Source organism: Homo sapiens, chromosome 7, assembly GCF_000001405.40.
Source record: "Homo sapiens chromosome 7, GRCh38.p14 Primary Assembly".
NCBI classification, from domain to species: domain Eukaryota; kingdom Metazoa; phylum Chordata; class Mammalia; order Primates; family Hominidae; genus Homo; species Homo sapiens.
The window spans coordinates 84,054,160-84,068,957 of NC_000007.14; the positions used below are offsets into that span (position 1 = coordinate 84,054,160).

At 38.4% G+C, this 14,798-nt stretch overlaps 1 protein-coding gene across 3 annotated transcripts in view, besides 2 other annotated features; it reads right to left on the bottom strand.

Moving 5' to 3' along the window:
* The window catches only part of SEMA3A (semaphorin 3A), a 536,949-nt gene that overhangs the window by 98,383 nt on the left and 423,768 nt on the right, over positions 1 to 14,798 (bottom strand). For all 3 annotated transcript variants that reach the window (XM_005250110.4, XM_047419751.1, NM_006080.3), the window contains one exon: positions 6,306 to 6,399. In XM_005250110.4, coding sequence (XP_005250167.1) covers positions 6,306 to 6,399 — 94 coding nt within the window. The remainder of the gene's footprint in view (positions 1 to 6,305; positions 6,400 to 14,798) is intronic.
* Positions 656 to 1,247: an enhancer, noted in NCBI's record as "NANOG-H3K27ac-H3K4me1 hESC enhancer chr7:83684131-83684722 (GRCh37/hg19 assembly coordinates)". NCBI's record gives its function as "activates a minimal SCP1, AML or CMV promoter by ChIP-STARR-seq in naive H9 embryonic stem cells {active_cell/tissue: H9 hESC(naive)}" and the evidence as "EXISTENCE:reporter gene assay evidence [ECO:0000049][PMID:30033119]".
* Positions 1,248 to 1,839: an enhancer, noted in NCBI's record as "NANOG-H3K27ac-H3K4me1 hESC enhancer chr7:83684723-83685314 (GRCh37/hg19 assembly coordinates)". NCBI's record gives its function as "activates a minimal SCP1, AML or CMV promoter by ChIP-STARR-seq in naive H9 embryonic stem cells {active_cell/tissue: H9 hESC(naive)}" and the evidence as "EXISTENCE:reporter gene assay evidence [ECO:0000049][PMID:30033119]".

The window sequence follows — 14,798 nt, forward strand, 5'->3', positions numbered from 1 at the left end:
TCAACTTTGGTGAATCTGACAATTATGTGTCTTGGAGTTGCTCTTCTCGAGGAGTATCTTTGTGGCATTCTCTATATTTCCTGAATCTGAACGTTGGCTTGCCTTGCTAGATTGGGGAAGTTCTCCTGGATAATATCCTGCAGAGTGTTTTCCAACTTGGTTCCATTCTCCCCGTCACTTTCAGGTACACCAATCAGATGTAGATTTGGTCTTTTCACATAGTCCCATATTTCTTGGAGGCTTTGCTCATTTCTTTTTATTCTTTTTTCTCTAAACTTCCCTTCTCGCTTCATTTCATCTTCCATCGCTGATACCCTTTCTTCCAGTTGATCGCATCGGCTCCTGAGACTTCTGCATTCTTCATGTAGTTCTCGAGCCTTGGTTTTCAGCTCCATCAGCTCCTTTAAGCACTTCTCTGTATTGGTTATTCTAGTTATACATTCTTCTAAATTTTTTGCAAAGTTTTCAACTTCTTTGCCTTTGGTTTGAATGTCCTCCCGTAGCTCAGAGTAATTTGATCGTCTGAAGCCTTCTTCTCTCAGCTCGTCAAAGTCATTCTCCATCCAGCTTTGTTCCGTTGCTGGTGAGGAACTGCGTTCCTTTGGAGGAGGAGAGGCGCTCTGCTTTTTAGAGTTTCCAGTTTTTCTGTTCTGTTTTTTCCCCATCTTTGTGGTTTTATCTACTTTTGGTCTTTGATGATGGTGATGCACAGATGGGTTTTTGGTGTGGATGTCCTTTCTGTTTGTTAGTTTTCCTTCTAACAGACAGGACCCTCAGCTGCAGGTCTGTTGGAGTACCCTGCCATGTGAGGTGTCAGTCTGCCCCTGCTGTGGGGTGCCTCCCAGTTAGGCTGCTCAGGGGTCAGGGGTCAGGGACCCACTTGAGGAGGCAGTCTGCCCGTTCTCAGATCTCCAGCTGCGTGCTGGGAGAACCACTGCTCTCTTCAAAGCTGTCAGACAGGGCCATTTAAGTCTGCAGAGGTTACTGCTGTCTTTTTGTTTGTCTGTGCCCTGCCCCCAGAGGTGGAGCCTACAGAGGCAGGCAGGCCTCCTTGAGCTGTGGTGGGCTCCACCCAGTTGGAGCTTCCAGGCTGCTTTGTTTACCTAATCAAGCCTGGGCAATGGCGGGCGCCCCTCCCCCCGCCTCGCTGCGGCCTTGCAGTTTGATCTCAGACTGCTGTGCTAGCAATCAGCGAGACTCCGTGGGCGTAGGACCCTCCCAGCCAGGTGTGGGATATAGTCTCCTGGTGCGCCGTTTTTTAAGCCCGTCGGAAAAGGGCAGTATTCGGGTGGGAGTGACCCGATTTTCCAGGTGCCATCCGTCACCCCTTTCTTTGACTAGGAAAGGGAACTCCCTGACCCCTTGCGCTTCCCGAGTGAGGCTATGCCTCGCCCTGCTTTGGCTCGTGCACGGTGCGCGCACCCACTGACCTGCGCCCACTGTCTGGCACTCCCTAGTGAGATGAACCCGGTACCTCAGATGGAAATGCAGAAATCACCCGTCTTCTGCGTTGCTCACGCTCGGAGCTGTAGATCGGAGCTGTTCCTATTCAGCCATCTTGGCTCCTCCCCAAATTATATGTTGATTCTTAAGCATAGTGTTAATTTGACAATTTTCAGATCCTAATAGAAGTCTTTTTGAAAATCTGAAGTAGTGTATTAGTTAAATGTTATTCTGCAATTATTCAAATGACATTATAATTGAGATACATACTTTAGAGCTGTTCACATATACTAAGCCAATTGTGAAAGAAATAAACATTTGTCCAATTTTATTAAATTGATGGTAGAATCATATATCTAGAAATTATTGTCTACATTAAAAGGTGGTTGTGAATACTATACCCTACAAGATCTTTAAGGCTCTCCAAAAAAATACCACATGGGCAGTTTAACATTTCAAAAATAATATATTGAACTAAGACAAATTTGTGCTGACATATGTAAACTATCATTCAGAAACTGTCAAACACAAAAGTTACTATTTGAGGATACGACCATTCTTTCTTAACTGGAAGCTTTCTTAACTCTCTCACAGGAGAGCATACTTTACTGAGATGAACAAAAACAGTTTTGTGAACTGCATTTCTATTATGGCTTAGTTGCCTGAGAAGTACGTATTAAAAACAAAAGTTCATATATACTCTAGACTTTCTGCTCAAAACTCAAAATGAAGTAAAAATGTGGCTTAGATCAGTGAATGTATTGGATTACAATTCCTAAGAAGGGTGTGGTGAGGAGAAACAGAAGGTGGAAACAAAACCACATTTCCTGATGAAATTGCAGCATTACTAACACAGGTGAAAAGTGTGACATGGATGTGAGCAAAATATCAAACAAACTTAAACACCAAGCCATTATGTTGTTAACACCTTAAGTAAATTCCACTCACAGAGTACCAAAGAAATTAGAAACAGAAGGGGGAAAAAAAAAAGAAAATACCCCCTCTATCACACACACAGAAACACACACACACACACATACACACAGAGCACGGATGCAATCCATGGATGTAAGAAAAATTTTACACTATTATATTTATTGAGCACCTTCTCTATATCAATAAATATTTTGGCTTCGTTACTTATGTTGTTCTTTTAAAATTAAAATTTTTCAACAGTTTATATGTCTACATGGTATAAAATTGAAAATGTAAAATTTATAAGGTACCAAATCTCCCTCCCAGCCTTTCTACAGGCAACTACTGCTGCAAGTTTGCTTATTTTATCTTTGCATATATTAAAGAATTACACAAGCACCGAAAATAATAGTATGCTATTACATTGTCTTATTTCTCACAACACACTAGTGAAAGTAATACTGCCATACCATTTCAGGTACAAGGAAACTGAGGCTCAGAGAGCTTCAAATAATTTTTTCAATTGTATCTAATTAACTTAGAGAGTTCCTTATTTGCTCTAGTATCAAGTGAGAGCATTTTGTAATGTCAAATTATGCTCTTTCCTGAGACAAGACAGCATTTTGACTTGAGGATATAAACTTAGCTAAAAGTCTCAGACCTTTGAAATAGGTCTCAATAATACCTCTTAGGGATGGAATATTTCTAAATTATTAGTGCTGCATTGCCTGGAAAAGATTTCAATGAAAAAATAAAATTGCTCTCAAGTTGACTGTTCTTTCACATCATGAAAATGTGAGATAGTACTTAGTGTTGGAAAATACTGAGGCTTATCCTTGTGCTATGTTCACATCTGGCATTTATTATTAGCAGGTGAGTAATTGCTATCTTTAGTAAAAGATTTTTTAAAACAAATTCATAAAAAAAATTTGCAGGTGGATGAAATAAGAAAGAGTAAAAAAAATAAGGCCAGGCGCTGTGGCTCACACCTGTAATCCCAGCACTTTGGGAGGCTGAGGTGGGTGGATCACGAGGTCAGGAGTTCGAGACCAGCCTGACCAACATGGTGAAACCTTGTCTCTCCTAAAAATTCAAAACTTAGCCAGGCCTGGTGGCACATGCCTGTAGTCTAAGCTACTCAGGAGGCTGAGGTAGGAGAATTGCTTGAACCCGGGAGACAGAGGTTGCAGTTAGCTGAGATGCCACTGCACTCCAGCCTGGGCGACAGAGCAAGATAAATAAATAAATAAATAAATAAATAAATAAATAAATAAAGACTGGAGCAAATTCATCTTGACAAAATGATCACTTTTAAAGGAGATTGCAAAATTAACTTTACTATTTTGGTTTGAAAAACTTAGGACATGTTCTTGGATTTGGGGACTTCATTCAGTAGCTTTGCATTGCTCAAGAGAGAATCCATATTCTCAATAGTCCTCAGCTTAAAAACCCATGGCATTTTGGGAAGAAGTCATATTAAACCTTGCTAGTTTTTGTAAACTAAAAATTTTAAGCTGTCATCTGGTTTTAAAGTTTACTACTGTTTGAAACTACTTCTTTCCTAGTGGGATTGGTGGTATAAAAAATATTTGCTGCCAAGATCCATCTAGCCAGTTTACAGATGGTTTGAGCCCAACCTGAAATTTTATTTCCCAGTATTGGGGAAGGAAGAAGCCTAGAACCACCTTAAAATTTCTATCTTATTTGTACCAATGAGGAAGGTGTATCCAAAAGCTTTTGGGAACATAGGTTTTCCCAATGGCCATTTTCTGATATACAAAGTACAACCTGTATATTTCTGAGACAGCTGTTACCCTTGTATGTAAAAGAGTTTGGGAAGTGCTGTAGAAAATATTTATGTTAAAAAGCTCCATTAAACTAGTGAGCATTCTTTTTAGAGCAGTATGAGAGAAAATGCCAACGAAAACCCAACAAGGGGAACTAAATGTACCATAAGAGGAAGAATTTATAGCACAGTTATAAAGAAAGCAAATAACTTCAACACAGAGAGTTTCAGCTCTTGAATTAAAATGGCGTTTCAGGTATTTTGAAGGATTTTGCCAGGTATAATATGGCCTGTTTCTTTTTCTGTATCTTGCTATTCAATGATTTCAGAAGTTAATTTATTTGGTCTTGTCAATAAGCGCTACATACCTCTGAAAATTACTAAATTATTTTACCATATTGGATAGGTTAGGTCTGCACTTCCATCTGAAAGTTCTTTTTCTGAAACACCTATTGTTCTTTCTAGCCACGTCCTCTTCCTGACTCACTGAACTTTGCTCATTCTCTCTGCCTTTTCATAAACCTATATAGCTTTTTCAAAGATATTCAAATATAAAACTAAAACTGTGGAGTTTCGTTTTCTTTGTGGACTTTGGGTGGTTGCATACCATATGAACTAGGTAATACCTACTTGTCATCATTCTTTCTCAGCGGAATATTAAAATAAATAATCAAGCAAGTCCCTACTGAGAAACATACCATGAAGTAAAGCTGCTTTGGGCACACTTTAGCATACTGCTTTTTAAGGAATACCTATCCTTTTTTCAGTGTGCAATTTAAATAACTATAAGCTGTAAGTTCATACAAAATATGACTCCTACCCTTTGTTTAAAACAACGTTCAAATTTCAGCATGTATTTTTGAGGAAGCCATCCACAAATAATCACTAGACCAACCATAAATAGGAAAATTGTAAGTGTGCTAGGTATGCTGCCTTCCTTCAGGTCTTAAACTTTTGTTAAAATGCTGCATAAATGCATGAAATGGACTAAAAGTGTCCACATTTGAAAAGCAACAGAGGAGATAATTCATGCCACAATGGATTTCTTCTTAATAGAATAAGGATCAGTGAAACATGGTGACAAAAGAAAACACTAGAAAATACAGAAAAAATATATATCTTCATGGTTAATATGGCAGTCAATATGACTAGAGTTTATTTTTCTGAGTAGGAAAAAATTATAAGAAGAGAAACATGGAAAACTTTATAAACTTATGACATATCAGATAACCTAAATTTAATTTTTTAATCAAGATTTATTATTTAAAATTTAATTAGAAATTTTAGATTTGAAAAGTTTCATTTTGTTGTGCTATTAAATAATTCTTTTGCATATTGTATAGAAAAGGAAAACAAAAAGGTACATAATTTCTACACAATTATGTAGAAAAATATGTTCAAGAACAGAATCATGACCCAGAATTTTTTTATGTTTTAGGTTGTTGGTATGCTCAAAATTTAAAAAATAAAAAAGAAAGGAAAAAATGATAAAATAAAGAGAAAATAAAAAATTTAAAAATTGCTTCATGATTTGCCACTTTTTGTTTGTGTATTTAGTTAACTCCAGTCCGGAGGTAGTTAAGAGTCTGGAAAAAATTCTTTATTTTTCAATACAGACTAAAGTTTTATCTTATTTGTATCTACTTCTATTATTTTGAACTATAAGCATTCCCCACTTATCAGCAATGCTAAATGAAAAGAGGAGAAAGCTAGAAAAGATGATGGTTACAGAAAAAGGTAGAGGACGTCACATCAAATATTTTGTTAGATTTTCCAAAAAAGAAGAGCTAATTTCATAAAAGGTGAATACAGAATGTAACTTCCCTTAGCCTGTATATGTAATATGTATATTAGGATGAGCCAGCACAAGGTAACACAATGGGTCTCTGCCAACTGTACCAAGTGGGGCTGCATAGTAATTGAGAGGCCATTTTAAGATCCTATTCCATTTCCATTAAAAAGAATCAGACTAGTTGGTGCAATAAGCAAAATAGCATTTAGTGTTTCTTCTTCATTTTCAAACATTTGAATATATCACAACTAATGTCCTTCTAAAACAATTATTATTTCATAATGGAAAATCTTGGTAGATAAAAAAGAACATACAACCTGTTTGTTATTTATAGAAAACTCACTATTTAATTGATTGTTGACTACGCACCTATTAAAAGGGATGCTGTCAGCAGCTTAGGGTCATATGGACTCTTCCCACGGCCGTTTTCAAAATGTGAGTTCTCCAGCTTAAAAATATTGTCCTGTGGATTTAAAAAAGAAAGAGAAAAGGGTTTCCTTTATATATAAAAATGAGTGTTTTCAACACATCAGTTAATCAGAGAGATGTCAAGTATTCATGTCCAACACAAGAGTTATTTTTATTTGTTCAAATTTTTGAGATGGCAAAATAAATCAAGTGTATTGAAAATAGGTAATACTAGCCAAATATCTACTTAGCTTAATGATATTTAGTAGCAGTTAGCACGTTGCAAACAATAATGTGTAAATAAACTATAAAGAACAGGATGTGTCATGGTAAGAGGAGAGTGATTATTTTATCACACAGGTATGTTATAATCTATCATAATGGCTTTTGAGGAAAGAATGTTAAACTTAAATAAAATGACTCATTTCCTTCCTTTGTAGAAAAGAAAAATAGCAATTCACTACGTTAGTTGTCTAGAATAAATTACACAATCTTGTCAGTATGTACTTTCCAGAAGACATGTTAAATAGCCATCAAATTTATTTTCCCCACTATGTCCTTTGCACATCTTTGGTGGCTACGTGCTTCTTGTGTATTTTTAAGTTACAGCAGCAGGTGAAGTGCCTGAAATGCCTCATTCACTTCTCTAAGAGGGAAATATCCCAGGTTAGGAGAGCAGTGTGCCTGGAGGTGGTGTCAATGGAATAACAAGCACATTATTACCACGGGAAAGCCTGCTCTGTTGGGTCCCTAAGTACTCAGAAACAGGAATGAACTTTTGACTACCTATAAAAAATATACACATGTCTCAAGGTAGAATATGTGCAGGAAAGCATGACATCAAAAATCTTGATAAGGAGATAACTAATTCACGCTTGAGACCCTGTTGTCAGAATGTGTCTACCTACTGCACTCTATATGTGACAGTGGAGTAAATCTGGGGACATTTCTGAGCATTCTTTTAAGAACCAAGTGCCCTGGGAATTAATTAGATAAGAATATGTATGCTTTTTCCAGTAGTACATTAAGTTGTCCACAGACTGAAATAAAATAGCTTTTTATTTTTTGGCAATTTCTCTACTATTCACATAAAAGTATTTTCTACCATCTTGGTATATTAAATGGTGTCCATTTTATGATCAGTAGGGATCATTTTGTTTAACATTTAATATTTCTGATGGAACTAATGGCAGGGTTTCAAATTATTACTCTTAAAACTCATTTGAATTAGGGACGAAAGTTAAAAAAAAGGAAGAAATTCCAAGTGTTCTGTTTTTACTACTGTGAATGAGAATTACCAATTCTAATCTTCTTTCTTTGCATTTATTCTGTATTTGGCAATTAGCTGTCCTGTACCAATGATATTTCTTTAGGTTAGTTCTAAAATCTATACTGTGAAATAATTTATGGGCTTTCACAGAATTGTACTAAGTTATAGTGGAAAACGCAATGAGCCAGGCACCAGGCTTAGCTCTGGTTCTCTGGTCACTGTTTCATATCTCTGAGCCTCTGGTCCTAAAATGTCAGCACATGTAAGGATATTTAACCTCACAAGTTAATTTGGAGGGTTAAATAATTTATTTAAAACATTTTAAAAGCAGCAAAATTTTAAAAATGCTATTTATATTCTATTAATTATGTTAGTATTACCAGTATAGCAAAATAATATGGAAATTAACACAGGTTGTTGCCATTATTTTCAACTTTCCTAACATAGTGTCAAAGAAATATTACATTGAGATGTTTATATACATCACTAAATTACAAACTTTTTCACAAATACGAATTTATCATAGGCATTTAAATATTAAAATTATATGAAAAGACATATTCTATTCAAAAACTTAGAAGAATCATTAAAGAAATACCCAGATATATGTGTATTTTGATGAAAAATTAGGAAATAGGAGGAGCCAAGATGGCCGAATAGGAACAGCTCCGGTCTACGGCTCCCAGAGTGAGCGACGCAGAAGATGGTGATTTCTGCATTTCCATCTCAGGTACCGGGTTCACCTCACTACGGAGTGCGAGACAGTGGGCATAGGTCAGTGGGTGCGCGCACCACGCGCGAGCCGAAGCAGGGCGAGGCATTGCCTCACTTGGGAAGCGCAAGGGGTCAGGGAGTTCCCTTTCTGAGTCAAAGAAAGGGGTGACAGACGGCACCTGGAAAATCCGGTCACTCCCACCCGAATACTGCGCTTTTCCGGCGGGCTTAAAAAACGGCGCATCACGAGATTATATCCCGCACCTGGCTTGGAGGGTCCTACACCCACGGAGTCTCGCTGATTGCTAGCACAGCAGTCTGAGATCAAACTACAAGGCCGCAGCGAGGCGGGGGGAGGGGCGTCCGCCATTGCCAAACTTGATTAGGTAAACAAAGCAGCCTGGAAGCTCCAACTGGGTGGAGCCCACCACAGCTCAAGGAGGCCTGCCTGCCTCTGTAGGCTCCACCTCTGGGGGCAGGGCACAGACAAACAAAAAGACAGCAGTAACCTCTGCAGACTTAAATGGCCCTGTCTGACAGCTTTGAAGAGAGCAGTGGTTCTCCCAGCACGCCGCTGGAGATCTGAGAACGGGCAGACTGCCTCCTCAAGTGGGTCCCTGACCCCTGACCCCTAAGCAACCTAACTGTGAGGCACCCCCAAGCAGGGGCACACTGACACCTCACATGGCAGGGTATTCCAACAGACCTGCAGCTGAGGGTCCTGTCTGTTAGAAGGAAAACTAACAAACAGAAAGGACATCCACACCAAAAACCCATCTGTACATCACCATCATTGAGGACCAAAAGTAGATAAAACCACAAAGATGGGGAAAAAACAGAACAGAAAAACTGGAAACTCTAAAAAGCAGAGCGCCTCTCCTCCTCCAAAGGAACGCAGTTCCTCACCAGCAACGGAACAAAGCTGGATGGAGAATGACTTTGACGAGCTGAGAGAAGAAGGCTTCAGACGATCAAATTACTCTGAGCTACGGAAGGACATTCAAACCAAAGGCAAAGAAGTTGAAAACTTTGAAAAAAATTTAGAAGAATGTATAACTAGAATAACCAATACAGAGAAGTGCTTAAAGGAGCTGATGGAGCTGAAAACCAAGGCTCGAGAACTACATGAAGAATGCAGAAGCCTCAGGAGACGATGCGATCAACTGGAAGAAAGGGTATCAGCGATGGAAGATGAAATGAATGAAATAAAGCGAGAAGGGAAGTTTAGAGAAAAAAGAATAAAAAGAAATGAGCAAAGCCTCCAAGAAATATGGGACTATGTGAAAAGACCAAATCTACGTCTGATTGGTGTACCTGAAAGTGATGGGGAGAATGGAACCAAGTTGGAAAACACTCTGCAGGATATTATCCAGGAGAACTTCCCCAATCTAGCAAGGCAAGCCAACATTGAGATTCAGGAAATACAGAGAACGCCACAAAGATACTCCTCGAGAAGAGCAACTCCAAGACACATAATTGTCAGATTCACCAAAGTTGAAATGAAGGAAAAAATGTTAAGGGCAGCCAGAGAGAAAGGTCGGGTTACCCACAAAGGGAAGCCCATCAGACTAACAGCTGATCGCTCAGCAGAAACCCTACAAGCCAGAAGAGAGGGGGGGCCAATATTCAACATTCTTAAAGAAAAGAATTTTCAACCCAGAATTTCATATCCATCCAAACTAAGCTTCATAAGCGAAGGAGAAATAAAATACTTTACAGACAAGCAAATGCTGAGAGATTTTGTCACCACCAGGCCTGCCCTAAAAGAGCTCCTGAAGGAAGCACTAAACATGGAAAGGAACAACTGGTACCAGCCACTGCAAAATCATGCCAAAATGTAAACACCATCAAGACTAGGAATAAACTGCATCAACTAACGAGCAAAATAACCAGGTAACATCATAATGACAGGATCAAATTCACACATAACAATATTAACTTTAAATGTAAATGGACTAAATGCTCCAATTAAAAGACACAGACTGGCAAATTGGATAAAGAGTCAAGAGCCATCAGTGTGCTGTACTCAGGAAACCCATCTCACGTGCAGAGACACACATAGGCTCAAAATAAAAGGATGGAGGAAGATCTACCAAGCAAATGGAAAACAAAAAAAGGCAGGGGTTGCCATCCTAGTCTCTGATAAAACAGACTTTAAACCAACAAAGATCAAAAGAGACAAAGAAGGCCATTACATAATGGTAAAGGGATCAATTCAACAAGAAGAGCTAACTATCCTAAATATATATGCACCCAATACAGGAGCACCCAGATTCATAAAGCAAGTCCTGAGTGACCTACAAAGAGACTTAGACTCCCACACATTAATAATGGGAGACTTCAACACCCCACTGTCAACATTAGACAGATCAACGAGACAGAAAGTCAACAAGGATACCCAGGAATTGAACTCAGCTCTGCGCCAAGCGGACCTAATAGACATCTACAGAACTCTCCACCCCAAATCAACAGAATATACATTTTTTCGGCACCACACCACACCTATTCCAAAATTGACCACATACTTGGAAGTGAAGCTCTCCTCAGCAAATGTAAAAGAACAGAAATTATAACAAACTATCTCTCAGACCACAGTGCAATCAAACTAGAACTCAGGATTAAGAATCTCACTCAAAACCGCTCAACTACATGGAAACTGAACAACCTGCTCCTGAATGACTACTGGGTACATAACGAAATGAAGGCAGAAATAAAGATGTTCTTTGAAACCAACGAGAACAAAGACACAACATACCAGAATCTCTGGGACGCATTCAAAGCAGTGTGTAGAGGGAAATTTATAGCACTAAATGCCCACAAGAGAAAGCAGGAAAGATCCAAAATTGACACCCTAACATCACAATTAAAAGAACTAGAAAAGCAAGAGCAAACACATTCAAAAGCTAGCAGAAGGCAAGAAATAACTAAAATCAGAGCAGAACTGAAGGAAGTAGAGACACAAAAAACCCTTCCAAAAATTAATGAATCCAGGAGCTGGTTTTTTGAAAGGATCAACAAAATTGATAGACCGCTAGCAAGACTAATAAAGAAAAAAAGAGAGAAGAATCAAATAGACGCAATAAGAAATGATAAAGGGGATATCACCACTGATCCCACAGAAATACAAACTACCATCAGAGAATACTACAAACACCTCTACGCAAATAAACTAGAAAATCTAGAAGCAATGGATAAATTCCTCGACGTATACACTCTCCCAAGACTAAACCAGGAAGAAGTTGAATCTCTGAGTAGACCAATAACAGGGTCTGAAATTGTGACAATAATCAATAGCTTACCAACCAAAAAGAGTCCAGGACCAGATGGATTCACAGCTGAATTCTACCAGAGGTACGAGGAGGAACTGGTAGCATTCCTTCTGAAACTATTCCAATCAATAGAAAAAGAGGGAATCCTCCCTAACTCATTTTATGAGGCCAGCATCATTCTGATACCAAAGCCAGGCAGAGACACAACAAAAAAAGAGAATTTTAGACCAATATCCTTGATGAACATTGATGCAAAAATCCTCAATAAAATACTGGCAAACCGAATCCAGCAGCACATCAAAAAGCTTATCCGCCATGATCAAGTGGGCTTCATCCCTGGGATGCAAGGCTGGTTTAATATACGCGAATCAATAAATGTAATCCAGCATATAAACAGAGCCAAAGACAAAAACCACATGATTATCGCAATAGATGCAGAAAAAGCCTTTGACAAAATTCAACAACACTTCATGCTAAAAACTCTCAATAAATTAGGTATTGATGGGACGTATTTCAAAATAATAAGAGCTATCTATGACAAACCCACATCCAATATCATACTGAATGGGCAAAACCTGGAAGCATTCCCTTTGAAGACTGGCACAATACAGGGATGCCCTCTCTCACCACTCCTATTCAACATAGTGTTCGAAGTTCTGGCCAGGGCAGTTAGGCAGGAGAAGGAAATAAAGGGTATTCAATTAGGAAAAGAGGAAGTCAAATTGTCCCTGTTTGCAGACGACATGATCGTATATCTAGAAAACCCCATTGTCTCAGCCCAAAATCTCCTTAAGCTGATAAGCAACTTCAGCAAAGTCTCAGGATACAAAATCAATGTACAAAAATCACAAGCATTCTTATACATCATCAACAGACAAACAGAGAGCCAAATCATGAGTGAACTCCCATTCACAATTGCTTCAAAGAGAATAAAATACCTAGGAATCCAACTTACAAAGGATGTGAAGGACCTCTTCAAGGAGAACTACAAACCACTGCTCAATGAAATAAAAGAGGATACAAACAAATCGAAGAACATTCCATGCTCATGGGTAGGAAGAATCAATATCGTGAAAATGGCCATACTGCCCAAGGTAATTTACAGATTGAATGCCATCCCCGTCAAGCTACCAATGCCTTTCTTCACAGAATTGGAAAAAACTGCTTTAAAGTTCATATGGAACCAAAAAAGAGCCTGCATCGCCAAGTCAATCCTAAGCCAAAAGAACAAAGCTGGAGGCATCACACTACCTGACTTCAAACTATACTACAAGGCTACAGTAACCAAAACAGCATGGTACTGCTACCAAAACAGAGATATAGATCAACGGAAGAGAACAGAGCCCTCAGAAATAACGCTGCATATCTACAAGTATCTGTTCTTTGACAAACCTGAGAAAAACAAGCAATCGGGAAAGGATTCCTTATTTAATAAATGGTGCTGGGAAAACTGGCTAGCCATATGTAGAAAGCTGAAACTGGATCCCTTCCTTACACCTTATACAAAAATCAATTCAAGATGGATTAAAGACTTAAACGTTTGACCTAAAACCATAAAAACCCTAGAAGAAAACCTAGGCATTACCATTCAGGACATAAGCATGGGCAAGGACTTCATGTCTAAAACACCAAAAGCCATGGCAACAAAAGCCAAAATTGACAAATGGGATCTAATTAAACTAAAGAGCTTCTGCACAGCAAAAGAAACTACCATCAGAGTGAACAGGCAACCTACAAAATGGGAGAAAATTTTCGCAACCTACTCATCTGACAAAGGGCTAATATCCAGAATCTACATTGAACTCAAACAAATTTACAAGAAAAAAACAAACAACCCCATCAAAAAGTTGGCGAAGGACATGAACAGACACTTCTCAAAAGAAGACATTTATGCAGCCAAAAAACACATGAAAAAATGCTCATCATCACTGGTCATCAGAGAAATGCAAATCAAAACCACAATAAGATACCATCTCACACCAGTTAGAATGGCAATCATTAAAAAGTCAGGAAACAACAGGTGCTGGAGAGGATGTGGAGAAATAGGAACACTTTTACACTGTTGGTGGGACTGTAAACTAGTTCAACCATTGTGGAAGTCAGTGTGGCTATTCCTCAGGGATCTAGAACTGGAAATACCATTTGACCCAGCCATCCCATTACTGGGTATATACCCAAAGGACTATAAATCATGCTGCTATAAAGACACATGCACACGTATGTTTATTGCGGCATTATTCACAATAGCAAAGACTTGGAACCAACCCAAATGTCCAACAATGATAGACTGGATTAAGAAAATGTGGCACATATACACCATGGAATACTATGCAGCCATAACAAATGATGAGTTCATGTCCTTTGTAGGGACATGGATGAAATTGGAAAACATCATTCTCAGTAAACTATCGCAAGAACAAAAAACCAAACACCGCATATTCTCACTCATAGGTGGGAATTGAACAATGAGATCACATGTACACAGGAAGGGGAATATCACACTCTGGGGACTGTTGTGGGGTGGGGTGAGGGGGGAGGGATAGCATTGGGAGATATACCTAATGCTAGATGACGAGTTAGTGGGTGCAGCACACCAGCATGGCACATGTATACATATGTAACTAACCTGCACATTGTGCACATGTACCCTAAAACTTAAAGTATAATTAAAAAAAAAAAAAAACTGGAAAAAACAAAAGAAAAATTAGGAAATAGTGAAAAGGAAACATAAAAGACCTATACTCTATTGTCACAATTCATACAAAATATTAAAATATGTATATGCGACTATATATTACAGACTAAAAGAAGCAGCAGAACGAAGTGGTAGTGTGGTAGAAATTATTGTTATGAATATTATATTTTCTTGTACTCAATAAGACATTTTACACTACTGACACAGACAGACGTGCTATCTCCTCAAAGCATAAGATACTTTATGTCTGGGATCATATGTCCAAGTTAATCAGACAGTGCCAAGGTAGATGAGAAGTGCTTCCAATTTCATGCAGTATTTGATTTACAAGGTAAAGGATTAGAACTCATAGGAAGAGAGGTTAAGCATGTCAGTTATGGTTCAAGAGAAGATGAAAAACTATCCTTCGTCATGGTGTCAGGTAATGTGTTGAAAGCTGGCATCCCTTTCCTTTCCTCCTTTTTGTTCAACCCCGTAAATAAATACTAAGTTAGTCACCTCTTTTA